Source organism: Homo sapiens, chromosome 9, assembly GCF_000001405.40.
Source record: "Homo sapiens chromosome 9, GRCh38.p14 Primary Assembly".
Taxonomy (NCBI): domain Eukaryota; kingdom Metazoa; phylum Chordata; class Mammalia; order Primates; family Hominidae; genus Homo; species Homo sapiens.
Window position 1 is genome coordinate 37,374,308 of NC_000009.12, and position 27,320 is coordinate 37,401,627.

Sequence of the window (27,320 nt, forward strand, 5' to 3'; positions counted from 1 at the left end):
TCTCCTGCCTCAGCCTCACAAGTAGCTGGGACTACAGGTGCCTGCCACCACTCCTGGCTAGTTTTTTGTATTTTTAGTGGAGACAGGGTTTCGCCACGTTAGCCAGGATGGTCTGGATCTCCTGACCTCGTGATCCACCCACCTCGGCTTCCCAAAGTGCTGGGATTACAGGCGTGAGCCACCGCGCCCGGCCCACCTGAGATTTAAAGTCTCCTGTGCCCAGCCTGCACCCCCAGACCAATGGCATCGGAATCTGTTGGATGGGGACACAGACACCACAATTATCTCTTAAGCACTCACGTGATTCCAATGTGCTTCCAAGGTTAAGAGTTTCTGGATTGATTGACAGTGAAGTGATGAGAAACTGATAAAGGAAAACGGGTGAAGCTGAAAGAGAGAGGTCTTCACACCAAAATACAGCTCAGCTTTGGAAGGAACCGAGAGGGCTACACCCAAGCCTGGTGACACCAAGGGACATTTCCAACCTCTGAGGAAGGAGTTCTGTTATGGGCTAAATTATGTTCCCCCAAAATTCATATGTTGAAGTACTAAATCCCAGTACCTCAGAATGTGACTGTATTTGAGGCTGGCCCTATAGAGGGGTGATTAAGTTAACGTGAGGTCACTATGGAGAGCCTCAGTCCAATCTGACAGGTGTTCTTAATACATAAGAAGAGGAGACCGGAACACACAAAGAGACCCAGGGGTGCACAGGGACCACATGAAGAGGCAGCCAGAGGGCAGCCACCTGCAAGCCAAGGAGGAGGCCTCAGCGGAAAGCAACCCTGCCGATGCTTTGGTCTTAGACATCTGTGGATGACGTCACTCAGTGTTAGTTTGGTGTAGCAGCCCTTGCAAACCAATGCAAGCTTCATTTCAGCACTTTGGTCTTATGTCTAAAGAGTCTTCTCACAAGGTTACTTCTTCAGCCACTTCTCGGACTCTTCCCTAACAACTAATGAGGATCCCCTTAAATACTGATCCACTAAGATGTTCACAGAATATTCCTGATAATTATGGATAGTGGAAATGTTTGACAATGAGAGAATGGAGAAGTAAATGATAGCAGTCAGTTCAATAGAGCATGAAGAAGCCATTAAGTTATCAAGATTTTTTTAGCCTCTTCCCTTGTCTTCTAACAAGGTCTTTTTTTTTGTTTTTTTGTTTGTTTTTTTTTGAGACAGTCTCACTCCCATCATCCAGGCTGGAGTGCAGTGGCACAATCTTGGCTCACTGCAACCTCTGTCTTCCTGTTCAAGTCATTCTCATGCCTCAGCTGGGATTACAGGCATGTGCCACCATGCCCAGCTAATTTTTTTTTTTTTTTTTAGTATAGACGGGGTTTCACCATTTGGCTAGGCTTTCACCATTTGGCCAGGCTGGTGTTGAACCCCTGACCTAAGGTGATCCACCCACCTCGGCCTCAAAAGTGCTGGGATTATAGGCATGAGCCGCCTTGCCCGGCCGACTTAAAAAAATCTCAATAGAAGGCCTGGCGCAGTGGCTCATGCCTGTAATCCCAGCACTTTGGGAGACTGAGGTGGACAGATCACCTGAGGTCAGGAGTTCGAGACCAGCCTGATCAACATGGTGAAACCCCGTCTCTATTAAAAACACAAAAATTAGCCGGGCGTGGTGGTGGGCACCTGTAATCCCAGCTACTCAGGAGGCTGAGGTGGGAGAATCACTTGAACCCAGGAGGTGGAGGTTGCAGTGAGCCAAGATCACACCACTGCACTCCAGCCTGGGCAATAGAATGAGAGTTCATCTCAAAAAAAAAAAAAAAAAAAAAAGATTTTTAAAGTTGCACTTTCAGCATGATCTCTCACCTACGCAAAAACGCATTGAAAATGCCCTTCAGTAAGCGGATGGGTAGGTAAGTTCTGAGGTATTCACAAAACAGAATCCCACACCACCTGCAACAACATGGAAGAATCTTACAAACATTGAGCTGCAGGGAAAAGAAGTCAGACACAAAAGATTCCATTTCCCTAAAATTCAAAACAGCCAAAACTAAATCTGTGCTGTTAGTAGTCAGGATAGCAGTTCCCTTGGGGAGACCAGAACGGGGTACAAGGGAACCTTCTGGGGTGCGGAAAACGTTCTGTGTCTTCATCTAGGAGATCAAGACCCTCGTCCTGAGACCTCCTAACCCCATACCAGGACACTTGAGTATGTGTCTACTTTCTTTGCCCCCAATGTCTAGGTTACCTATAGGTAGTCCTGCCTCTCCAACACATATGGGGACACCCACAGAGAGTCTTTAGCTTCACAGTTGGTGCCTTGACCTACCCATCTGCATCCTAAACCCATACAAGGATGTATAAATATAGAAAAATGTATTGAGTTGTAATTGTACTTTATGTAGGTTAATGTCAGTTTTTTTTAAGTGTTTTAAAAGGCAGTGTAAAAGAGCTGGAAGTTAGTATGTACACAGATGGCCATGGCATTCAGCTGGGGCTGGTACAGGGTCTGTGGGACTGGTTAGGGGTGGGGCAGGCGGCTCAGTTCTGACTTGGGTTGGAAGAGTGGAATCTGGGCAGGCTTCCCCTAAGGAAGTGGCTCTTAGATGAAAGCAGAATGAATGGGGGGAAAAGCATCTCAGACAGGCTTGTTCAAAGGCTCATAGGCAGGCCAGTGGAGGAGTCATCCAGGCTGAGAGCACTGGTCAGGGTCGGAACATGGTTGTGGTGGGAGAGGAGATGGATAGGACAGAGACAGGGACACCCAACTGCAGATGAAGTTGTCTGATTCCAGGAATGATCCCAGCATGGCTGACCAAGGGTGGTCTGTGCTGTCGATGATCTCAAAGCGGGGTCGGGTAGCCATGCCAGCTTGGGGCACAAGGGAGAAGATATGATGTACCACAGTCTAGATGATGTGGTTGAGGTCCCAAGTCACTGTACGTGAGAATATTGATGGGTAAACCAAGGCACAAGCTGGAGAGCTCAAGACTCTGTGGATGTGGGTGTGTGTGTGTGTGTGTGTGTGTGTGTGTGTGTGTAGGAGAGAAGGTAAAATACATAGGTAGGTAGACACAGTGTCCTGGGATAGAGTGAGGGGATATCAGGACAAGGTCATGAGTTGAGGCTTGGAACCTAGGGCAGCTTAGGGGTTCTTAGCTGATCTGGTTTCCCCTTGGGTTTTGTTTCGTTTTGTTTTGTGAGTGCGTGTGTTTAGAAATGGAGCCTTGAGGCCGGGTGCGGTGGCTCACACGTGTAATCCCAGCACTTTGGGAGGCTGAGGTGGGCAGATCACCTGAGGTCAGGAGTTCGAGACCAGCATACCCAACATGGCAAAACCCTGTCTCTACTAAAAATACAAAAAATTAACCGGGCATGGTGGCAGGTGCCTGTAATCCCAGCTGCTCGGGAGCCCGAGACAGAAGAATTGCTTGAACCCAGGAGGCGGAGGTTGCAGTGAGCTGAGATCACACCACTGCACTCCTGCCTGGGCGATAAGAGTGAAGCTCTGTCAAAAAAAAAAAAAAAGAAAAGAAAAGAAAGAAAAAGGGAGGAAAGGAAGAAATGGGGTCTTGCTACGTTGCCCAGGCTGGCCTTGAGCTCCTGGGCTCAAGCAATCCTCCCCCTACAGCCTCCCGAGTAGCTGGGACTAGAGTGAGTTTTTTGCTTTTAAATAAGATCAGATTGGAAAGGATTCTTGGTGATTCTTTTCCTTACTTTATGATTTGTTTTGTAATGGCCTTTTCTTGCCCCCCACCCTCACCTCATTTTACAAAGGGCAACACTGAGACCCAGAGAAGGGAAGAGAGTCATAAGGGAAGGGAATGTGGCTAAATCTCCATGGACCAAGCATGCAAGGGTTTGAGGGTGTCTGCAGCTTAGTCTGTGCCCGAGGCTGGGCTGTCAGGACCAGGACCTCATAAGACATCTGCCCCCTGCCACCGGCCACCCGGGAGGCCCTTGAACCAGTTATTTTGGGAGTGCCATCTGAATAAGATACAGAAATGTGCCATTGTGTTTACGAAGATCAGCAGTAGTTCCTTCTGAATCTTTTCGGGGTATTTTGGCTGGGTTTTTCTTAATTATCCAGATTAGCATTAGGTAAATTCCCACATGTAAAGACGTCTCATCTTCTGAAAACAGTTGTCAATGTGGAAGTGGACTTGTGGCTGGCTTGCCCCCTAGACAATGAATAGGCAGAGGACACTGAGACCCGGCCAGCCCCATCCAGCCCCATCCAGCCCCACCCTTCAGCCTATGAAGTCATTTCTCACGGCATAAACAACACGGACTCTGCAAATGCAACTCTCTCCTTAGTGTTCAAGTACAGCATTTGTTTCCATGATGAATCGGGACCCCAGTGATTATTTCTCTCCCCACAATGTGGCTGGTTCCGGATGCTTTTGGGCCACTGCGTGGGACCTCCAAAGGAAGGCAGGAGAAAGGGATGTGCCTGAATCAAGCCATGAGTCTGGGCGCCACTGGCCCATCCACCATCCGGGGAGGCTTTCCACGTGCAGGATGCGCCACCGAGGGCACGGCCGCCTCTCCCACCCGAGGCCTTCACTCTGCCCTGTCTTCCCCCGGTACCCCTTTCTCCCGTCTCTGCCCAGCCAAATCCTGTCATGGTCAGCGGCCGGCTGCAGCGCCACCTCAGTGAAGCCTTGGGGGAGACCATGCCGTCCCAGCGAGGGGTACAGTAAGGATGCCACAGTCACCCCACCCTCGGGGCCACCTCATCCCGGCACTGGCACTGGCACTGTCCTCTGTGGCTCCCAGCACTTCACACATTTGTATGCTTTGCTTCAGAACAACAAACACTAAAGTTGCAGAACTTTATTTAAAAATGAAAATAAAACTGCCTGATTTATAAAGACACGTATATAGATGTTTGGGAATGTATGTGTGTATACATATGTAGAGAGAGAGCATATAAATAAATTTATATATATATATATATATATATATATATATATTTTTTTTTTTTTTTTTTTTTTTTGAGACAGAGTCTTTCTCTGTCACCCAGGCTGGAGTACAGTGGCACGCTCTCGGCTCACTGCAACCTCTGTCTCCTTGGTTCAAGCGATTCTCATGCCTCAGCCTCTTGAGTAGCTAGGATTACAGGTGTTGGCCACCACGTCTGGCTAATTTTTTGTATTTTTAGTAGAGGCGGGGTTTCACCATGTTGCCCAGGCTGGTCTCGAACTCCTGACCTCAAGTGATCTGCTTGCCTCAGCCTCCCAAAGTGCTGGGATTACAGGCGTGAGCCACCACACCTGTCCTATATTTATATATTCTATATTACCTAATATAAATATATAAATGTTGATATATTCTATATTACATAATATAAATTTATAAATGTTTATATAAAGAAATATGTCTTTGCATATTCATAGAAAGAAATCTGGAAGAATACACACCAAACTGCTCCTCTTGCTTATCTCTGGCAAGTTGATTTTGCTTTCATATGAAGCAGTGTTTGAATTTGTTACAGGAATGTATTAAGTTTTTAAGCTCTTAGCCAATATTTCTGAAGATGAAAAGTGTCCTGGATATGCATCTGTCTTCTCTCTTGCTGGACAGTGGGAACCTGCCTCTGTCCTCTAGGCTGGGTCACAGAGCAAAGTGGGCAGATGTTTGTGAGATGAATTACAGAGAGTGCAAGGATGAGCCCCAGCTGCCTCCAGTGAGGCCCGGGAGTGATGGCTTCTCACTGCTGCCCTGCAGTGCCTGGACCGGCACTTAGGGAGTGCTCCCTAAAGGTTTACTGAATGAAGAAGGAAGGAAGGAGGGAGGCAGAGAAGGAGGGCAGGGAGAGAAGGAAGGGAGGAAGGAAGGGAGGGAGGAAAGGAGGGAGAGAAGGAAAGGATAAAGGGAGGCAGGGAAGGGGGGAGGGAGGGAGAAAGAGAAGAAGGGAGGGAAGAAGGGGTATGAGTGATCATAAACCCTGAATTTGTGTATCTGAATTAATGACTGTTTAATGTATAAATGTGGGAATCTAATGAAACACTGAAATACAGGGTACCATCTGGATGGATGGTGGAAATATTTTATTACTAGGCGTACAATTGTTTTCATTATAAAGTAACAGAACTGTATCCCAAAAGTATGAAAAATAGGCTGGGCAAGGTGGCTCATGGCCATAATCCCAGCACTTTGGGAGGCCGAGGCAGGTGGATGACCTAAGGTCAAGAATTCAAGACCAGCCTGGCCAACATGGTGAAACCCCGTTTCTACTAAAAATATGAAAAAAATTAGCCGGGCGTGGTGGCGGGCGCCTGTAGTCTCAGCCACTCAGGTGGCTGAGGCAGGAGAATCGCTTGAACCTGGGAGGCAGAGGTTGCAGTGAGCTGAGATGGCGCCATTGCACCCCAGCCTGGGCGACAGAGTGAGACACTGTCTCAAATTAAAAAAAAAGAAAAGAAAAGAAAACTTAATCATTACGTCACCCTAACAAATCCCCTATTTGTATTTTTGTGCATTTCCTTCCGAGTAGGTGAGTGTGAGCACATATATCTTCTCTACGTGTTCGTGGGGGCTGCTCACACCATTTTATATCATACTTCTGTTGTAAGTTCCTGTCATATCCTAAGCCTTTCTTCGTCCCGTTATAAAGTCCTCAACCTCTTATTTTATAAGTGCTGTCAACTACATTAAGAGGACATATATAACTTATTTAACCACTTATCTCTTTTTATATTGAGGTAACCTCTCATTTTTTATTATTATAGCGTTTATGATTTTTTAAACTACTAGCTTTTGCCTAATGCCTTCATAATTTTCCCTGGGTACCACTCAGAGATGCTTGGACACCTCAGGTTAGTGTCCCCAGAAGCAGCCTGAAAGTAGCTGGGCCACAAACTTTGTTACCATGAGTTAAGCAGCTTTTGCCCCAGAGAGTAAATCAGTGACCTGCTTCCTTTATTGAGAAAGTCTTGCTGTGGAAAAAGTCAGCAGGACTAAATAGCCCGCTGAGTGACAGTAACGTACATTCCAGTGCGAGCTTCTTATTCCCCTTCATGGACATCTAACCAAGCGTTTGCAGAGCAGCACAGGTCTGCAGGTGACATTTTGAGCAGCACTTGTCTACAGAGCTTCAGTAGGCACAATTGGCTTACTGTAGAAGGTTTACACCTGGGTGGATTCATGGTTGGAGTTTGGAAGAGAATAAAGTCCCTGCCATGAGCCTGGCGCCGTGCCATGGCCTTCCCATGTAACAGTGCTCAAAGGGTGCCCCTCCCACCACTGGGGCCTGCTGTTCTCGAGTCCTTGAGCATTTGCCTCATGTCCTTCCCACGTGCTCCAGCTCCTGTCCGGGCTGCAGATCTCCCGTGCATTGCCATGTGTGAGCACGCACAGCCAGGGCTGCCCCTAGAAACAAGGAGAACCAGAGCCACTCAATTAGAGGGGCCACCACAATAACTGTACTGTTGGCATCTTTCATAGGCTCCTTAGGGTATTGCTAAAAAGAGTAATTTTACAATTGAATTTCAATTATTCTCAGAAAACAGGAATAAGACCCCCACATGAAAGAAGGATTGTAAGGATTTTTAAGCTGAAAGGTAATATGCTCAGGTCTGCATTTTAGAAGGAGCAAACTAACTACTCTATGGAGAATAGATCAGAGAGTTTGAGACCAGAGGTGAGGACTCCAGTGGGGACGTCAGGACTGGAGGTCCCAGGAAGGTCAGTGGTGGCAGTAGTAGGTGTGAATTTTAGTCCCAATTCTTCCACCTCCCTGCATCCACACTCTGGCTATATGAGACTTTGGGCTTGGTCTTGTGACTTACTTTGATCAATGGAATGGGGCAGATGAGTCTTGATACCAGGTCTGAGAGCTGATGGTAAGAGACCTTACATATTTCTACTTTTCCTCTCATGCATCTGCCATCACCATGAGAAGAACCTGTCCAGCTTGGCCGTGGACCCTAGGAGGATGAGGGACACGTACAGCAGAGATGCCCACCAGCTTGCCAACCCCTGAGTGAGCCCAGCCAAGGTCAGTAGAGCTGCAGGCCCTGAGAAGGAACGCCTGTTGTTGCAGACCACTGAGATTCTGGGGCTGTTTGTTACGCAGTATTGCTGCAGCAATGGGCAACTGATACAGTGGGCGTGGAAAGAAATTAACAAAGCCAAGAAATACTTAAGTAAGCAAATGGAGTTAGCGGCCAGTCGAGTGAGTGGGCAAGACGGAGAGAGCCTCAGAGAACTTGGTTTGGCTCAGGTACCTGGATGGTTGAAGGGCACAGTGCCTGTGGTAAAGGACACAGAGGAGGAGACGTGGCCACCCACAGTAGACCTACATTAAGAGCACTCTCTCCTTCCCCCTACACTTTTTTCTTGTTTCTGGAGGAGGCCAGGGCCTGTGTCTGAAGAGATAAGCTCCACAGGGACAGAACCACAGTGTGGGATTATAGGCACCCCTGCCACAGTCAGCCACCCCCACGGCCTCCGGCTCTGTCAGAGCTTCTCCCCCAGTACAGACTCATTAGAACAACCGCTGATGTGGACAAGGGGGTGACCCAGACTTCCCGGCCATAGGGGCCAACTCAAGAAAGGCCCCCAGATTTCCCAGGGCCTCCTGCAGAAAACACAGCCTGCATCTCGTTACTTTCATTTGCTTAAAATACCTGCCTTTGCAGCAGTGAAACCACCCAAAATACTCACTTCTTTATTTCCAGCTAGATAAGTTGAACTCAATTTGCATTGGATAATTATTTTCAATTAAGTGATAACAATCCTGTTTGGTGCAAAAGTAATCTTGTCCAAAGGCCAAACAGTTTATCCCATCCAAGAAACAGGAGGCAGTGATAGGAGGAGGCCTATTAGCATGCTTGCCATGAGGATGGAGGGGCCAATCCCCACCCCTGGAGGGATGCCTCAGCCAAGTCGTTCGTGGGGGACCTCTGACGCTGTGGGCCGGGTGGGACCATTGACCTGGTTTGCCCTTTGACAGCCCCCGGGCCAAGCAGCCACTCTTTCTTCTTTCTGGACAAAGAAGGAGGCACCTCCTGCCAGCTGCAAGGAAGTGGAAAAGGCAGCTGGTCAGAGAAGGGCCCAAGACAGAGGCCAGGACCCAAGTTCTGGGCCAGCCGTGTGTCCCTGGACAAGTCATCCCCCACTGGGCCTCAGTGTCCCCTCTGTGTGGGGAGCAGTGGGGTTAGATGGGGACAGTTCCAGCTCAGATGTGATTCTGTCCTGGTTATCCAGAGCTACCTAGGTCTGAAGCCAGGTTTTCTGTAGGGAAAAGCCCCACTTCCTGTGTGATGTGTGTGTTGTCGGGGCAGGGATGCTCCTCCACCAGGAAAGAGGGAGCAGGCGCTGAGTTCTGGAGCCTCACAGGGGCCCCGCCACTCTCCTGGTCTTATGGCAGTGTCACATTCTCTGCAGGCAGCTGGAGTTCCTTACTTTCCTCCACAGCCTTCCCTACTGTTGCACATCTGGGCAAACCCCCTCCCCACCAATCGAGCCGCCGTGAACATCTTGTTCAAGGCTGCTGGTGTATTCAAGAGCAGACCCTGTCTCAAAAACACAAAAAAGAAAAATGAAAAACAACCTGCCTGCCAATCTTTCTATTGTTATTTACATTGAAAAACATGAGGATCGAGGTGGTCCAAACAAATAACTCTTGTGAATTTTTGCAGCCAATACTTCAAATATTTGATACTTGAGTACCCCATGCTGTGTGCTCTCTGTGTATTCACTGACATGCAGTCCTCCCACAGCAGGAGAACTAAAACTCTTGTCACTTATAGACAAGAAAACCGAGGCTCAGAGAGGCTAAGTAATTTGCTGAAGTCACACAGTGGAATTCTGACTTTTTGTTGGTTTCAATTGACTTCCACACTGCATTTTTTCCTTCTTTCCTTCCTTCCTTCCTTCCTTCCTTCCTTCCTTCCTTCCTTCCTTCCTTCCTTCCTTCCCTCCTTCCTTCCTTCCTCCTTCCCTCCCTTCCTTCCTTCCTTTTTTTTGAGACAGGGTCCCACTACATTGTCCAGGCTGGTCGACCTCCTGGACTCAAGCGATCCTCACCTGGGCCTCCCATGGTGCTGGGATAACAGGTGTGAGCCACCATGCCCTGCTGTTCCGCATTCTTTTCTCTACTTAATGGTGGCAGCGGCCCTTATGCTTCTCTGGCACACAGTGTACCCTCAGCCAAGCCGAACTGAGAAGCTGGACAGGAGGAGGGAAAGAAGAAACCATCTGAGCTGCCGTATCTCTTAAGTACAGTTTTCTGTATTCAAATTAGGCGACACAATCTCCATGAATAACATTACAGTTCCCAAAGGATCACACCCAATTTAAATGTATAAGAGGCCATTAACGGGTGGGGCTAGCTATTAGAATTTAGCTCCAGTGTTATTGTGGTGTGGTTCTGCTATTAGGCAGGCGCAATGGGGATAACAGAAGCCCAAGGCACACTCGCCCCTGGTCTCCAAGGCTCTGGGTCCTCAGACTGGCTGAGTACTGGGGACCAAGGTCACCCAAGAAGCCCTGAGTGGCCCTCTTGAGGGTTAGCAGAGCTTCTCTCTGTCCAAGACAGGTCAGGCTCTCTCCCCTGGCCCCAGCTCCACCGTCACTCAGAGGAGTGGCCTAAACAAACGCTGCAGGTGAGGCTCCCGAGCCCCTGACATGGATGTTTATGGAAGAGGACTCTTGGCATCAGCACCTGGGCAAGGTGGGTAGAGGCAGGAGTGGGCAAATGGGAAAGTCTAGCTGCCATGCGGGCTGAGCAACAATGGGGCCAACCTCAGGGGACACCTGGAAGCCCGAATGTCCTTTCAAAAGTTCTGAATGTGGGCTGGGTGTGGTGGCTGATGCCTGTAGTAATCCCAATACTTTGGGAGGCCAAGGCAGGCGGATCACTTGAGGTCAGGAGTTCGAGACCAGCCTGGCCAACATGGTGAAACTCCGCCTCTACCAAAAAATACAAAAATTAGCCTGGCATGGTGGTGTGCACCTGTAATCCCAGCTACTCGGGAGGCTGAGATGGAAGAATCACTTGAACCCGGGAGGCAGAGGTTGTAGTGAGCCAAGATTGCACCACTGCACTCCAGCCTAGGCGACAGGGCAAGGCCTTGTCTCAAAAAAAAAAAAAAGTTCTGAACGTGGAGTTTCATGCAGAGACGGCCAGGCCTTTGTACCCCCATGCAGATCAGTGGCTGGATGTGGGCTGCCCTGGGAAGGGTGTGACCTCAGGCTGGGTGATCTCAGCAGCTGAGGCTGTCCTACAGGGCTGGTCACTTAAGGCCGTATGCTGACCGCCTGCCCAGCTGCTGGGCAGCACGTCCTTCTTGGAAGGGGATCTGGGCAGGTGGCAATGACTGATGCCCACCAGGGCTGTGGCCTTGTCAGTCTGTGGGATAACACAGACCCTGCCTCAGTGGCTCCAGGGGAAAAAGAGACCATCTACGTGAATTGTTTAGCTCAGGGCACAGCACACAAATAAGAGCTCAAAAAATGTCAACCACTCTTGTTATCCCCATCCTGACCCAAATCACAGGATGACCCTCTGCTCTTCTCCCTCATCCTCGCGTACCTCCCCAGCGTCCAGCAAGTGTCCAAGCCTCACTTCCACACCTCCACTAATGGACAGGTCACTACTTCCCAAGGCAGCCCAAGTCACTGTTGAACAGCTTTTTTTTTTCCTGTGGTAAAATATACATAACCTACATTTTACCACTTTAATCATTTTTAAGTGTACAGTTCAGTGGCGTTAGGCACATTCACATTGTTGTACAACTATCAGCACCATCCATTTCCAGAACTTTTTTCCCAAACTGATACTCTTTACCCATTAAACAATATTCCCTCATTCCTCCTCTCCCCTGAACGCCTGGCAACCACCACCCCCATTTCTGTCTCTATGAATTGGACTGGACTGCTGTAAGCATCTCATGTGAGTGGAATCACACAGTATTTTTTTTTCCTTGTGTCTGGCTTATTTCACTTAACATAATGTCCTCAAGGTTCATCCCTGTGACAGCATATGTCCGGATTCCCATTTTTCTTTAAGGCTGAATAATAGTCCATTGCTTGTACACACCACATTTTGCTTATCCATTTATCTGGCCGTGGATGGATAGTTGGGTGGCTTCCACCTTGTGGCTATTGTGAGTGATGCTGCTGTGAACACTGGTGTACAAGCGCCTATGTAAGACCCGCTTTAGCAGGGCATGTGGCTCACGCCTGTAATCCCATCACTCTGGGAGGCTGAGGCGGGCGGATCACTTGAGGTCAGGAGTTTGAGACCAGCCTGGCCAACATGGTGAAACCCCATCTCTACTAAAAATACAAAAATTAGCTGGGCATGGTGGCGGGCGCCTGTAATCCCAGCTACTCAGAAGGCTGAGGCAGGAAAATTGCTTGAATCCAGGAGGCGGAGGCTGCAGTGAGCCAAGATCATGCCACTGCATGCCAGCCTGGGCAACAGAGTGAGACTCTGTATTAGAAAAAAAAAAAAACCTGCTTTTTTTTTTTGTTTTTGTTTTTGTTTTTGTTTTTTGGGGTTTTTTTTGATAGGGTCTCGCTCTATCACCCAGGTTGGAGAAGGTGCGATCATAGCTCACTGCACCCTCAATCTCCCGGGCTCAAGCAATCTTCCCACCTCAGCTTCCTGAATAGCTGGGACTATAGGTGGGCACCACCACACCCAGCTAATCTTTTTATTTCTTGTAGAGACAGGGTCTTGCTGTGTTGCCCAGGCTTGTCTCGAACTCCTGGCTTTAAGTGATCCCCCCACCTCAGCCTCCCAAAAATGCTGGGATTACAGTGATGAGCCACGCCGGCCACTGCTTTCAATTATTTTGGGTATGCAGAGGCGGAGCTACTGGACCATATGGCAGTTCTACATTTAATTTTTTGAGGAACTGCCATCTGGTTTCCCACAGTGGCTGCACCATGTTTCTCGAGCAGCTCTGAGAGAAAACGTTCTCTTTCATCACGCTGCATTCCCATGACGTCCTCACTGGCCCTTGGCTTTGCCCTGGGGACAGCCCTGCTGAGTCTTTTTTTTCTTTTTCTTTTTCTTTTTTTTTTTTTGAGACAAGGTCTAGTTCTGTTGCCCAGGCTAGAGTGCAGTGGTGCGATCATAGCTCACAGCAGCCTCGAACGCCTGGGCTCAAGCAATCCTCCCACCTCAGCCTCCTGAGTAATTGAGACCACAGTTGAGTGCCACCACACCCAGCTATGGTTTTTTTCGTAGAGACGGGGTCTCACTATGTTGTCCATGCTGATCTTGAATTCCTGCACTCAGGCAATCTGCCCACCTTGGCCTCCCAAAATGCTGGGATTACAGGTGTGAGCCCCCGTGCCCGGCCTCTGTTGAGTCTTGATGCCAACTCAGGAGCCCCGCTGAGCCCTCTGCTCTGGGCACGTCACCCATTCCAGTGCCCAGGGCCCTGACTGCCCACTTCACAGAAGTGCAGTGGCATTTTCTCTTGAGGAACCCCACCAGGGGGAGAGGGAATGGGGTCTCAGAGTCAGGAGCAAGCTCACCTGGCACTTGGAAGGAAACCCAGGACCTCCTGCCCACACTCCTCTTCAGCGAGGCCCTCCTGCCCACACTCCTCTCCAGCCGGGCCCTCAACTTCCCCCAGCCTTCCTGCCCCTCTCCTCTCCTCAGGGCATCACCCTACCAACAGGCGAAAGTAATCTGTGACCAGGAGTACTCTCCTAGGAAACTCTGAAGGCACTTGACACGCTTGAAGAGGTGACACAGATTTAAAGTTGTTGCTTTGCTCAGTCAGTTTACCGGATCAGACCAAAAGTTGCTTTGATATTCAAAAATCTTTAAAAGTATCTAACTTCAATTCTTTTTTTTGTTTGTTTGTTTTTGAGACACAGTCTCACTCTGCTGCCCAGGAGTGCAGTGGCAGGATCTCAGCTCACTGCAGCCTCCACCTTTCTCCTGCCTCAGCCTCCAGAGTAGCTGGGATTTCAGGTGCACACCACCACACCCAGCTAATTTTTGTATTTTTAGTAGAGACAGGGTTTCACTGTGTTGGCCAGGCTGGTCTTGAACTCCTGACCTCAATGATCCTCCTGCCTCAGCTTCCCAAAGTGCTGGGATTACAGGTGTGAGTCACCGCGCCCCGCCCTCACCTCAGTTCTTGAAGGGATTAACACTGCATCTCTTCACCATTTCTGAAGGTTCCTGATTTTACTGTCCTGAGACATTTCTACCTTTATTAAATCCTCCCCATGGGATGGTGGTGGTGGGAGAAGGGACATCACCACCAACAACAAAGAAAATAAGACAGCCAGATGCGGTGGCTCATGCCTCTAATCCCAGCACTTTGGGAGGCCGAGGCGGGTGGATCATGAGGTCAGGAGTTCGAGACCAGCCTGGCCAACATGGTGAAACTCCATCTCTACTAAAAATACAAAAATTAGCCAGGCATGGTGACGCATGCCTGTAGTCCCAGCTGCTTGGGAGGCTGAGGCAGGAGAATCGCTTGAACCCTGGAGGCAGAGGTTGCAGTGAGCCGAGATCAGGCCATTGCACTCCAGCCTGGGGGACAGAGTGAAACTGCGACTCAAAAAAAAGAAAGAAAATAAGACAAAATCACACTTTAGTGGAAAACAAGTGGTGACCACTCTGCACAGCTCTTCAACTCCTCAACGCCTCCTAAGGCAGCTGTGCCAGGTGCTGAGTCCACATATTTTCACCCCGTGCTTCTCACACTGGGACAGTGTACTTCCAGCAGCACCGGCAGCCACACAAAACCCACTCACGGGCTCTGCCCACAGCAGGCTGGGAGGCACCAGCTCTCCTGGCTGAGTGCAGGCTGGGCCCTGGGAGCAAGTGCCTCCTGAAACTTCTCACCCTGATGGCAGCATGCCTCACCCTAGTCCCAGCCCAGAGCCTCAACCTTGCTGGAAAGGCTTAGCATCCGCTAGGAGGAATATTAGACCCAACTCAGGAGAAGTAAGTTCTAGTTCTGGCTTTGCCACCAAATGTGGACTCTCATCCTCACTCTCCCCATTCAGAAACTCACAGGTTAGAAGTGATTATTTCCAAGGGCGGGTGCGGAGGCTCACACTTGTAATCCCAGCACTTTGGGAGGCTGAGGTGGGCGAATCACTTGAGGTCAGGAGTTCGAGACCATCCTGGCCAACACGGCAAAACCCCATCTCTACTAAAAATACAAAAAGTAGCCAGGCATGGTAGCAGGCACCTGCAGTCCCAGCTACTCAGGAGGCTGAGACTTAGCCTCACTTAAGCCCTCACTTAAGACTTAGAGAATCACTTAAGCCCAGGAAATCGAAGCTGTGATGAGCCATGATCACGCTGCTGCACTCCAACCTGGGCGACAGAGTGAGACCCTGTCTCAAAAAAAAAACAAAAAACAAAAAACAAAAAAAAAACCTCAAACCAAAAAACAGACAAAAAAAAGAATATCACAGGAAATTTGGAGAAGAGAAAAAGGAAAAACATAATTACCCCATTCATCCCTTAATACCATCCCTGAGCTATTCGGTGTGTTTCCCTCCAGAATTTTCCCTGGTATGAGGGGCACGGGCTACTGCTGCGCATCTCCCCTCCGTGGCGCATGGTGGAGGTCATGCTGCTCATGGACACGTCTGCCCTGCTGTCTCCACGTGCTTCCCTCTCCAGGCTCAATAGTACCTCCATATCCAGCAGCTATTGCTATGTAACGATCTAACACTCAACATTCAACGGGTTAAAATAACAAGATTTGGCCGGGTGCGGTGGTTCACGCCTGTAATCCCAGCACTTTGGGAGGCCGAGGCGGGCAGATCACTTGAGGTCAGGAGTTCGAGTCCAGCCTGGACAACATGGTGAAACCCTGTCTCTATTAAAAATACAAAAAAATTAGCCGGGCATGGTGGCACATGCCTGTAATCCCAGCTACTCAGGAGGCTGAGGCAGGAGAATCGCTTGAACCTGGGAGGCAGAGGTTGCAGTGAGCTGAGTTTGAGCCACTGCACTCCAGCCTGGGCAACAGAGCAGTCTCCATCTCAAAAAATTAATTAATTAATTAAAAATTAAAAAAATACAAGATTTATTATTGCCCAAGAGTCTATGGTCAGGGGAACAGTTCTACTGATCTGGGCCTGGCTCAGCTAGTCTTGTTTATGCATCTGTGATCAGTTGCTGGGTCCCCTGGTTGGTCTAAGCTGGCACTGTTCACATGTCTTGGCTGACTGGTCATGGCCTGGGCAACTGGGGTGACCAGGCCACACAGTGTCTCACCCTCCATCACATTCTACTGGTCAAAGCAAGTCGCAAGACCGGCCCAGAGTCAGAGTGGGAGGGACTACAAATTTCAGGGTCAAGGGCATGCATACATGGAAGCCAGTAATCGTAGTGTCAATCACTGCTCTTAATCTACCGTAATCCCTAATTTTCATACCTGCCATTTTTGGTAGCAATACTGTTTTTCATAGATGTACATTTCATAGATTACCATTAAATAAGATGTACCACATTTTAATTTGTTTAAAATTTTTCTCTTATAACACTTGTGTGAACAACTTTGGTGGAACCTTCGCCTTTGAGATCAGGAAAAGCAGCGTTTCCCACTCTCAATCAGAAACCCAAGGTTAAGTGAGAAAATTGAGCCCAAGTGTCCCGAAGGCCCTTTAGAAGCAGCGCCACCTGCAGACCTTCCCGAGTTCCTCACCTGACCGAATTCAAAGGTGTCAGACCAGGAGTCTCAGACCAACTCTGAGTCCAGCTGTTGAAATCACTTTCAGTATCACTTTCCGTCTCTGGGCTTCAGTTTCTCCATCTATAAAACTGCAGGGTTGGACTAGAACAGTCTTTCTCAAATGATGTCACTCTGGTCTAAAAGCCAAAAAGATGCCAGTGACCACCTTCTTGAAAGTATTTTTATTGATTGATTGACTGATTGATTGAGACAGAGTCTTGCTCTGTCGCCCAGGATGGAGTGCAGTGGTGAGATCTCAGCTCACTGCAACCTCTGCCTCTCAGGTTCAAGTGATTCTCATGCCTCAGCCTCCCAAGTAACTGGGATTACAGGCATGTGCCACCACACCTGGCTAATTTTTTGTATTTTTAGTGGAGATGGGATTGCACTGTGTTAACCAGGCTGGTCTTGAATTCCTGACCTCAAATGATTCTCCCACCTTGGCCTCCCAAAGTGCTGGGATTACAGGTGAGAGCCCTCGTGCCTGGCCTATTTATTTTGAGACAGGGTCTCACTGTGTCACCCAGGCTGGAGTGCAGTGGTGCAATCATGGCTCACTGCAGCCTTGACCTCCCTGGGCTCAAGCAATCCTTCCACCTCAGCCTTCCAAGTAGCTGGGGCTATAGGCAAGCACTACTATACCTGGCTAATTTTTTTTTATTCTTTCTGTATTTGTAGAGATGGGGTTTCACCATGTTGCCCAGTCTTGAACTACTTGGCCCAAGCGATCCTTCTGCCTTGGCCTCCCAAACTGTTAGGATTATAGGCGTGAGCAACCACGCCTGGCCTGAAAGTATTTTTAAATGCATAAGAAAAAGACAAAGCAGTTCCATATCATTCTAACTGCTCGGCGGTGATCCACCTTTTAGAAATGGTGTGCTAGGAGCAGGGGTCACGGCGTGAGAGGCTGCCCGTCCGGCACCTACGAGGGCGATGTCAGACTCGGGAATCCAGGCACGGGCAGCACATGAGGCAGCTATCATAACAAGGCTGAGGATGATGGCTGGTCTCTGTTCGGTGTCTTGTCTTGTAATCCCAACATGTATTTGTGACCTCGCTCAATGTTCATTGTCTGTTAAATGCACTACACAAATTTAATTCCCATGGTCTGTGGCTGAGCAAAGGAGGTTTCAAAAGAAAATTTGTGCATTCTAGTTCATGAGCTCTTGCTGTTATTTTTAAAGAGCTCCATGGAACAAATGGGTGGACTCCAAGCACCCTTTGAGCTCTAACAGCCTAGAGAAGAGGTGGGAAGGGGGTGCCTCTTTTCTCTTCCCCAGCTGAGTTCAGAGGTCAACAGTCCTCACAGCTGGACATGGGCAGGGTTGCCCAGTAGCTTAGGGGTCACTGGTCATAATGGCATCCTGCATGGCAGAGACCCTGGGAGTAGCATTTTCGGCAATGTTTGGGTTACAGACCTCCTTCCGAGTCGCCTGGAGAGGTCTTTCCCGCCCTTTGTAGTGGATGTATGATTTTGTTTGCAAGCGTCCTTGGGAGAACCACTCCTCCCACAGCATGAGGCTGTTAATCCTGGTGGCTTCTTCCTCCAACCCAGGCCCTCTGAGGAGCACTCTGCCCCACCCCTCGGCACGTGATTGGTTCAGAGGCAGGCATGTGACTCAAGAAGCCAATAAGAATTCTTTTCTGGGATTGTTACTTTAGTCCCTGGGTGAAAGGAGGACTCCCCTGGATAGAGCTGTCTTGCTGGGACGTTCTCTATCTGTCTGCCCACCACCATCTTTCCTAACTCATAGAAGAAAGCGAAGCAGAGAGGCAAGAGATGGGGGGGGTGGGGAGAGGCGGGGGGAGAGAGAGAGAGAGAGAACTGACAAGGCTGCTTGAGCCCCTGCATCCAGCTATGCCTGCTTCCCCTCAGACTTCCACACTTCAGGAGCCAATGAATTCCTTGGTTGCCTAAGCTACAATGAGTTAGGTATCTCTCACTTGCAACCAAGAGTCCTTTAAGGCCCACTCAACAGGGCTGCCATATACAGTGACACCCCTTCGCTTACACAGTACTCAGTCTTTTCAGATGAATGAAGTAAATTGTTCAGTCATCATCTCCTCTCAGAAGCCTTCCTTGATTTCCCTATACAGAACCAGTCACTCCCTAATCTATGCTTCCAGGAATCTTGTAAAAATATACACTGTGGCCCAAGTCCCTCTGTGTATTTATGATAATATAAATTGAATATAAGAATATAAATTGAATATTCAATTTATATTCTTACACACATGCTTGTCTCCCCATCAGAGTGGGAGATCCTTGGGGTAGAGACTAAATCTGATTTATCACTGTTTCCCCCGTACCCAACCAAGAAAGTGCTTAGGTGTTTATTGAGTGAATTATAATCAAATCTCACTACAACAAACAATTGGGATGTCTCATCTAATTTGTTATTAAGAAAATTCTCACCTGAGTGGGTGGCTCACACCTGTAATCCCAACACTTTGGGAGGCCAGTGTGGGAGGATCACCTGAGCTCAGGAATTTGAGACCATACTGGCAACATAGGGAGACCCTGTCTCTACTAAAAATAAAATAAAAATTAAAAAATTAGTTGGTCATAGTGGCACACACCTGCGGCCCCAGCTACTCGAGAGGCTGAGGTGAGAAGACGCCTTGAGCCCAGGAGGTGGAAGTTGCAGTGAGCCGTGATCACACCACTGCACTCCAGCCTGGGCAACAGACAGAGACCCTGTCTCAAAAATAAAAAGAAAGAAAAGAAAAGAAAATTCTCAGCTGAGCACTGTGGCTTATGCCTGTAATCTCAATATTTTGGCAGGCCAGGGGCCTGAGGCTGCTTAAGTCTGCTGACTGGCCCCAGGTCACACACAGTGAGTCTGGGTCCCATAGGGACCGGACGTGCTGACCTCTGTGGAGCTTTGCGCCCAATCACCCAGAGGCAGCAGGAGGAGTTTCTTTTTTGTTTTATTTTGTTTGAGACAGGGTCTTGCTCTGTTGCTGAGTTCAGAGTGCAGTGGCACAATCATAGGTCACTGCAGCCTCAATCTCCTGAGCTCAGGAGATCCTCCCACCTCAGCCTTCCAAGTGGCTGGCACTACAGTTGTGTGCCACTATGCCTGACTAATTTTTTTTAATTAGAGATGGGGGTCTCACTACATTATTGCCCAGGCTGGTCTTGAACTCCTGGGCTCAAGAGATCCTCCCACTTTGGCCTCCCAAAGTGCTGGGGTTACACATGTTAGCCACCATGCCCACCTCAATCAAGATTTGTTTCTTTTCTTTTTTTATTGAGATAGGATCTCACTCTGTTGCCCAAGCTGGAGTGCAGTGTACAGTGGCATGATCTTGGCTCACTGCAGGCTCTACCTCCTGGGCTCAAGGGATCCTCCTACCTCAGCCTCCTGAGTAATTTGGACTACAGGTGTGCACCATCAGGCCTCGCTAAATTTTGTTTCTTTTGTTTTGTTTTGCAGAGACAGGGTCTCACTATGTTGCCCAGCTTGGTCTCAAACTTCTGGCCTCAAATGATCCTCCCACCTTGGCCCCCAAATCTGTGGGCTACAGATGTGAGCCACTGCACCCAGCCTCGAGGTTTGTTTCTTAAACTATCACCCTCCAGGGGCTGCTCTGTATTCATGCACCTTCATGCATTTGGCTCTGGGCTCTACCCACCTCCCCTCACCCCAGATTCTGCCAAGCTGGTGCTTAGGACAGTGGCCCTCCCACTTACGCTGAGGCCGAGATCTCTGACATGTTTGTGGGCCTCACTTCCCAGGTGCCTCCCAGCCCCACATGAGCTGTCTCGTAGGGCCAAGACAGCACTTTTGTATGGGGGTCTGTTTCAGAGGCACAGATGGCTCCAAACACGTCTTCTGCATCTGTAAAAGATAACAGGTGTACATTTAAAGAAAGGAATTCATACATATTTAATGATTTAGCTTAAGCAACTGGGCAAATATTCATTTTCTTAAGGTGGTAATACATAATTAACTGATAATAAAATTAATTGGGTAAAACAGTCTAAAAATAATGCAGTACTTATTACATGAGGGAATATAACTGCATTGAAAGAGGTTTAATTGTTCCAGAGACTGATGAGTCCCCAAAAGCAGCAAAGGGAAGAGGTTTTTCCACCTTTGGAATAAGGGCTCTGAGTGGGCGCTTCCTGTTCACCCTGTGGGAATAGGGTGGGAATGGAGGGTGGAGAGGAAGATGGTTTCTTGCAATTTAACAGCTTCACAACGGGTTTAGAGAGCATCCCAATGTCTACTCCCAACCCTAACCACACATCTTCACCCCTGCCAGGTCAAAAAATACAGAAAAGAAAGAATCTACCACAGATACCCTTTTATTAGATCAGAAGAGAGAAAGCTTGTAGACGCCTCGTGAACTCACCCCTTCCACTGCGAAGTGCCAGACCCTGGGCTGGACACCGTGGGAGAGGCCAGCTGGGCAAGTCTGTCCTTCGGGGAGGTCTGGGGTGTTTGGGGAAGGGAGATAGGGACACACAATCCTCACAACAACTGCAAAAAGAAGTGTGAGCACGTGGGGGCAGAGGGAGCGTCAGTCAGACGGGAGGTGATCGGGACTGGAGAGAGATGTCCCAGAGGAGGTGGCTTGGGCAGGTGGGCTTTGACTGGCGTCTATGGGAGAGGAGCCCGTAGGAAGAAGAGAGAGCAGGACAGCTGGGATTGAGTTGGGCTGAAGCCGGACCGGGGAGGGTGTGGCAAGAGATGAGGCTGAACCGGTGGGCTGGAGGAGGGGGTCCCAGGAAAAGCAGCTCTGGTCCCACCGTCAGCCCTGCCTTTTATTATTAATCTCTCTTGTGAATTCAGGTGGGAAAAGGCCTGCTGAGAGTAGTGCCAGAATTCACAGGAGAAAGATTCTGTAATTTCTTTGAGCTCTGTGACTCTGGACAAAGTATTCAGTATTAATGCAGTTGACCATGACGTCTTCTGTGTGCGCGACTGACAGACCAAATTACCTTTCCTTATCTCCTGGCGAGAAAAAAGGACCATTTTCTTGACATATTTCATAATCATTTCACCTGCTTGCCCCCTATGGAGAGCGCCGGTGACCCGGCCCCCTCCCCTCCCACACAATGCAGGAAGTATGTCATCTAATAAGCCCAGTTTCTAAAGAATGTTTTTAATCTTGGAATAGTGAGTGTGATTTTTGATTGTATTTTTAATTCTCTATCTACTTTTTTAAAAGCACACGCTTTTGTTCTAATTCTCATCTTAGCTCATCAGGGCCAGGAGGAAGCGTGGACATCTTCCATTCCATGGATCTGCTTAGCATTTGACAGGTGAGGCCCAAAGAGAAGGCATGGGCCAGGACCCCTTAGGGCAGCTGGGGGCACACCAGGAATTCTGGAGTCAGGGCTCTATGCCCTCCATGCCCAGTGGGCACCGTTCTCTAGGTGGTGCCCCAGCCCGGTAACTACAAAACCTCAGAGCATTTTTTTCTAATTGTGGTAAAATACACATAACAAAAAATCTACATCTTAACCTTCATTTTTTTTTTTTTTTTTTTGAGATGAAATTTTGCTCTTGTTGCCCAGGCTGGAGTGCAATGACACGATCTCGGTTCACTGCAACCTCTGCCTCCTGGGTTCAAGAGATTCTCCTGCCTCAGCCTCCCAAATAGCTGGGATTACAGGCACTCGCCACCGCTCACTGCTAATTTTTTGTATTTTTAGTAGAGACGGGATTTCACCATGTTGGCCAGGCTGGTCGCAAATTCCCGACCTCAGGTAATCCACCTGCCTTGGTCTCCCAAAGTGCTGGGATTACAGGCGTGAGCCACTGCACCTGGCCACATGGGAAATATTTATGATATTAAGTATAAAAAGCCGATTGTGGCTGGGCACGGTGGCTCACGCCTGTAATCCCGGCACTTTGGGAGGCCAAGGCAGGTGGATCACGAGGTCAGGAGTTCAAGACCAGCCTGGCCAACATGGTGAAACCCTGTCTCTACTAAAGATACAAAAAAATTAGCTGGGCATCGGGGTGCATGCCTGTAATCCCAGCTACTTGGGAGGCTGAGGCAGGAGAATCGCTTGATTCCGGGAGGTGGAAGTTGCAGTGAGCCAAAATCGTGCCACCGCACTCCAGCCTAGGTGACAGAGCTAGACTGTCTCCAAAAAAAAAAAAAGCAGATTGCGTAGCCAGGTGTGGTAGCACACACCTGTAATCCCAGCACTTTGAGAGGCCAAGGTGGGAGGATCACTTGAGGCCAGGAGTTCAAGACCAGCCTGGGCAACATAGCAAGACTTGATATCTACAAAATATTTAAAAATTAGCCAGGTATAATGGCACATGTCTATAGTCCCAGCTACTCTGGAGACTGAGGCAGGAGGATCACTTAGCCCAGAAGTCTTATGCTGCAGTGAGCCGTGATCGCACTACTGCACTCCAGCCTGGGTGACAGAATAAGACCTTGTCTCTAAAAAATAATAATAATAATTAATTAAATTTTGTAAAAAGCAGGTTGCAAGTTGGTATATATAGAGAATGGCTCCCACTTACATGAGTAAATATGTAAATGTCAGTGGGTATTTGCAAGGATATTTACCACAATTTGACCAATGGTTATTCCTGAGTAGTAGAATTATGGATGGCTTTTTCTATTTTCTTTTTTTAATGAAAAATGAATAAAATAAAAGTTGTCCTGCTAGGGCTACCATAACAAAATACCACAGACTGGACTGGGTGGCTTAAACAATAGAAATTTATTTTCTCACAGTTCTGGAGTCTGGAAGTCCAAGTTCAAGATGCTGGCAGGCTTAGTTCTTCTGAGGCCTCTCTCCTTGGCCTGCCGACAGCCACCTTCTTGCTATGTCTTCCCACGGCCTTTGCCCTGTGCACACGTGTCCCTGGTGTCTTTCTTCTTTTAAGGACATCAGTCATATTGCGTGAGGGTCCCACCCTTGTGACCTCATTTTACCTTAATTACCTCCTTAAAGACCTTGTTTCCATATACAGTCACATTGGGGTTTAGGGCTTCAACCTATGAATTTTGGGGAAACACAATTTAGTCTATAACAAAAGTTAGTTTGAAAAGAAAAAGAAAGTAGGCCGGGCATGGTGGCTCATGCCTGTAATCCCAGGAATTTGGGAGGCCAAGGCGGGCTGATCACTTGAGGTCAGGAGTTCAAGACCATCCTGGCCAACATAGTGAAACCCCATCTCTACTAAATAAATAAATAAATAAATAAATAAATAAATAAATAAATAAATAAATAAATTAGCCAGGCATGGTGGTGAGTACCTGTAGTCCCAGCTACTCAAGAGGCTGAGGCATGAGAATTGCTTGAACCAAGGGGGTGGAGGTTGCTGTGAGCTGAGATGGTACCACTGCACTCCAGCTTGGGCGACAGAGCAAGACTCTGTCTTAAAAAAAGTAAAGCTTGTTAAAGCAGTGCTCTTACAAAAGGACACACACAGTTCTTAGGATGAATTTTGTCAGTTTCACCCAACAGTTAATTTCTGTGCTATGCAACCTTTCCCAGAGCTTAGAAAAAAGTTAAAAATTTTCCAATTAATTTTACACACTTTGCATAACTCCAATACTAAGACTTGATTTTTAAAAGAGCACAAGATAAAGTGTATCTATCTAAAATCAAGAATCAACATCATACTAATGATAAAACACTAAACCCCGTCTAGAGGAGTTTGGATTAGAGTCAGAATGAAGACAAGGGTGTCAGTTAGGTATCAGCAATGCTAGCTGCTGTGAGGAACATAACTCCAAACCTCAATGGCTGAACACAATGGAAGTAAATTACTTGTTTACACAAAGAGCAGTGAGAATCCCTGGTTAGCCAGCTGCCTCCCATGTGGCCATTCAGGGACCTCCACTGCTTGTGCCATCCCCCAGAGCCACTGCCAGCTCCTCTGACGGCAAACAGGAAGAAAGACAGTAGAGGATCTTGTGGGAGGTTTTATGGGCCAACCGGGCAAGGCACCTGTATCACCTCCACCCACAGTCCAGTGGCTAGAACCTGGTCACGCGGCCACTCCTAACTGCAAGGGAGGCTGAGAAATGTTACCTCCTTCCGTGCCCAGCAGGAAAAAGAAACAGGTGACGTTGCAGCATTTCTTGCAGAATACCCCACTGTCGTCTCTGGGACTTTTGTTGACAAATCACTGATGTTTTCTGCACATCCTGATTTGCAGCAGGCAGTGACTACTACCTGAGCACCATCCCAGTTTCAGAGATTAAAAATGTGAAAAACTTGGAGTTGATGAAATACTCGATAGGAATAGTAGGTGAAGCTGTAGGAGATGCTGCGCTTGTAAAAGGCCCACGGATGAGCCAGGGCTTTCCGGGCATAACCCCAAGGCCAAAAACATAAGTGATAGACTAACTATATAAAAACAAAAAAATCCCTTATATCAAAAAAGAACATTGAAAGGAGAAGGGCCCACTGTGGGGGAAATATTTGCAATGTGTGATAGAGAATGAGCAGGCTTGCTATTTAAAGAGCCCTTACAAATCAAGAGTGAAAAAGGTGAAGAAAATGGACAAATAACAGTAACAGGAAATTAATAAAAGAAGAACTAAAAATGGTTAAATATGTTAACTATGTAAAACTATTTAGTAGTCAAAGAAGCACAAATTAAAACTACCATGTAATACCACGTTTTACCATCAGATTGGCAGAGATGTGAAAATTGATAATGGTGTTTGCAAAGACTGGCAAGTAAAGGCTATTAACCCTCTGGAAAGGGAAAGATGGGTGCCCTGTTTACCACTGTGGGTGATACGGTCTTGAAAACACTTATGCCTGTTGACCCAGCAGTCCCACCTCTGGAATTTATCCTAAGGAAACAAATGAAGAGATGTGAAAGACATATGTTCAAGGCTGCTAATCTCAGGGGAGCTTTTAAATTTAACTTTAATTTGTATCAAGTTATACATGCACATGATTTCAAAGGTCAAAAAATTCTACAAGATTTGTTACAAAAATCAGCAATTCCCTGAAGCCACTCCCCCAGTCATGGCCCTGCTCTGCTTTTTCAGTCCCAGAGATACTTTTTTTTTTTTTTTCTTTTTTGAGACAGGGTCTCACTCTGTCTCCCAGGCTGGAGTGCAGTGGCATGATCTCGGCTCACTGTAGCTTCGACCTCCAGGGTACAAGTGATTTTCCCTTCTCAGCCTCCTGAGTAGTGGGAACCACAGGCATGTGCCACCATGCCCAGCTAACTTTTATCATTTATCCTAGACAGGGGTCTCCCTGTGTTGCCCAAGCTGGTCTTGAACTCCTAGGCTCAAGCAGTCCTCCTGCCTTGGCCTCCCAAACTGTTGGGATTGCAAGCATGAGCCACCATACACAGCCTCAGAGATACTATTTCAATCCTTTAAGTATTTAGTGTATTTTCTCTAAATACCATGCTTATATTGCTACTTCTTGATTTTTCAGGTTTATACATTATATAGTGATTTTTCATTATGGAAGGGGAGAATTTGGCTCTCATCAATCACTCACTCACAATACCCCCCACCCTGGAACAAAACGCATATTAATACATGTATTCCCACCCCCCACAGCCTCCCAATATAGTTATTTGTCATTCTGATCAGATCAATATTCGTTATTTGCTTTATTCTGACTGCAAATCTGTTTTCAAGATTTTCAGAGTTAATAATTGTCTTGCTTTTTTTTTTTTTTTTTTTTGAGACAGAATCTCTCTCTGTCCCCCAGACGGGAGTTTAATGGCACAGTCTTGGCTCACTGAAGCCTCCACCTCCCAAGTTCAAGTGATTCTCCTATCTCAGCCTCCTGAGTAGCTGGGACTACAGGCACGCGCCACCAAGCCCAGCTAATTTTTGTACTTTCAGTAGAGATGGGGTTTTGCCATGTTGGCCACACTGGTCTCAAACTCCTGACCTCAGATGATCCACAGCCTCAGCCTCCCAGAGTGCTGGAATTACAGGTGCGAGCCACTCTACCCGGCCCAATTGTCTCGTTTTTACCATTGGCTTGGTTTACTAATTTTCGTCACTAATTTAACTACAAACTCTTTCTTTCAGAATTTTGAACATATTCCTCCATCATGTTCCGGTTCCCACTGACGCTGTTAAAGAATCCAGTGCCATTCGGATCCATGATCCTTTGTATGAAATCCACTTTTTCTCTGCAAACTTGTAGGATATTTTCTTCATGCCAGATACTTGTGTTCTTCAATTCTGGGTTTTTGAAAACAAAATATTTTTAAAATTACTTTCTTCTTTCTTTTTTTTTAGGACAGAGTCTCACTCCGTCGCCCAGGCTAGAGTGCAGTGGTGTGATCCCAGCTCATTGCAGCCTCAAACCCCTAGGCTCAAGTGATTCTCCCACCTCAGCCCCCCAGGTAGCTAGGACTACAGGTGTGTGCCACCAGTCCTGGCTAATTTTTTAATTTTTTTTTTGAAAACACTTATGCCTATTGACCCAGCAGGTGTGTGCCGCTATGCGTGGCTCATTTTTTATTTTATTTTATTTTATTTTATTTATTTTTGCAGAAGCCATTGATACCATCTAGCTAAGCTAGGTTGAAGATACTTTGGACTCGACAATTCTATATTAGGATACATGCCCTAGAACATCTCTCCCGTGCATGCACAAAAAGATATTGATGCCTGTAATCCCAGTGCTTTGGGAGGCCAAGGCAGAACGATCACTTGAGGTAAGAAGTTTGAGACCAGCCTGGGCAACATAACAAGA

At 47.7% G+C, this 27,320-nt stretch overlaps 2 long non-coding RNA genes across 3 annotated transcripts in view, besides 10 other annotated features; one reads left to right on the forward strand and one right to left on the reverse strand.

The window, feature by feature from the left end:
• Positions 1 to 22,105, forward strand: part of LOC124902153 (uncharacterized) — a 34,185-nt gene extending 12,080 nt beyond the window's left edge. The window contains exons 1-3 of one of the 2 annotated variants that reach the window (XR_007061477.1): positions 7,116 to 7,965; positions 20,083 to 20,200; positions 20,915 to 22,105. This is a non-coding gene — a long non-coding RNA (uncharacterized LOC124902153). Of the gene's footprint in view, positions 1 to 7,115; positions 7,966 to 20,082; positions 20,201 to 20,914 lie in introns of those variants that run through there. The other variant, XR_007061478.1, reaches the window with a different exon arrangement.
• Positions 645 to 754: an enhancer, noted in NCBI's record as "active region_28384". NCBI's record gives its function as "activates an Ori minimal core promoter by ATAC-STARR-seq in GM12878 lymphoblastoid cells {active_cell/tissue: GM12878}" and the evidence as "EXISTENCE:reporter gene assay evidence [ECO:0000049][PMID:35858748]".
• Positions 2,381 to 2,680: an enhancer, noted in NCBI's record as "active region_28385". NCBI's record gives its function as "activates an Ori minimal core promoter by ATAC-STARR-seq in GM12878 lymphoblastoid cells {active_cell/tissue: GM12878}" and the evidence as "EXISTENCE:reporter gene assay evidence [ECO:0000049][PMID:35858748]".
• Positions 3,925 to 4,174: an enhancer, noted in NCBI's record as "active region_28386". NCBI's record gives its function as "activates an Ori minimal core promoter by ATAC-STARR-seq in GM12878 lymphoblastoid cells {active_cell/tissue: GM12878}" and the evidence as "EXISTENCE:reporter gene assay evidence [ECO:0000049][PMID:35858748]".
• Positions 6,250 to 6,319: an enhancer, noted in NCBI's record as "active region_28387". NCBI's record gives its function as "activates an Ori minimal core promoter by ATAC-STARR-seq in GM12878 lymphoblastoid cells {active_cell/tissue: GM12878}" and the evidence as "EXISTENCE:reporter gene assay evidence [ECO:0000049][PMID:35858748]".
• Positions 8,145 to 8,194: a silencer, noted in NCBI's record as "silent region_19903". NCBI's record gives its function as "represses an Ori minimal core promoter by ATAC-STARR-seq in GM12878 lymphoblastoid cells {active_cell/tissue: GM12878}" and the evidence as "EXISTENCE:reporter gene assay evidence [ECO:0000049][PMID:35858748]".
• On the reverse strand, positions 10,060 to 20,487 carry LINC01627 (long intergenic non-protein coding RNA 1627). Its single transcript, XR_002956875.2, has 3 exons — positions 20,340 to 20,487; positions 16,616 to 16,779; positions 10,060 to 10,139 (listed from the first exon to the last, which is right to left on the reverse strand). It is a non-coding gene; the product is annotated as a long intergenic non-protein coding RNA 1627 (long non-coding RNA).
• Positions 11,179 to 11,679: an enhancer, noted in NCBI's record as "H3K4me1 hESC enhancer chr9:37385483-37385983 (GRCh37/hg19 assembly coordinates)". NCBI's record gives its function as "activates a minimal SCP1, AML or CMV promoter by ChIP-STARR-seq in naive H9 embryonic stem cells {active_cell/tissue: H9 hESC(naive)}" and the evidence as "EXISTENCE:reporter gene assay evidence [ECO:0000049][PMID:30033119]".
• Positions 16,581 to 16,850: an enhancer, noted in NCBI's record as "active region_28388". NCBI's record gives its function as "activates an Ori minimal core promoter by ATAC-STARR-seq in GM12878 lymphoblastoid cells {active_cell/tissue: GM12878}" and the evidence as "EXISTENCE:reporter gene assay evidence [ECO:0000049][PMID:35858748]".
• Positions 16,861 to 16,910: an enhancer, noted in NCBI's record as "active region_28389". NCBI's record gives its function as "activates an Ori minimal core promoter by ATAC-STARR-seq in GM12878 lymphoblastoid cells {active_cell/tissue: GM12878}" and the evidence as "EXISTENCE:reporter gene assay evidence [ECO:0000049][PMID:35858748]".
• Positions 21,425 to 21,719: an enhancer, noted in NCBI's record as "tiled region #4136; K562 Activating DNase matched - State 4:PromP". NCBI's record gives its function as "activates a minimal TATA promoter and a strong SV40 promoter by Sharpr-MPRA in K562 cells {active_cell/tissue: K562}" and the evidence as "EXISTENCE:reporter gene assay evidence [ECO:0000049][PMID:27701403]".
• Positions 24,654 to 24,713: an enhancer, noted in NCBI's record as "active region_28390". NCBI's record gives its function as "activates an Ori minimal core promoter by ATAC-STARR-seq in GM12878 lymphoblastoid cells {active_cell/tissue: GM12878}" and the evidence as "EXISTENCE:reporter gene assay evidence [ECO:0000049][PMID:35858748]".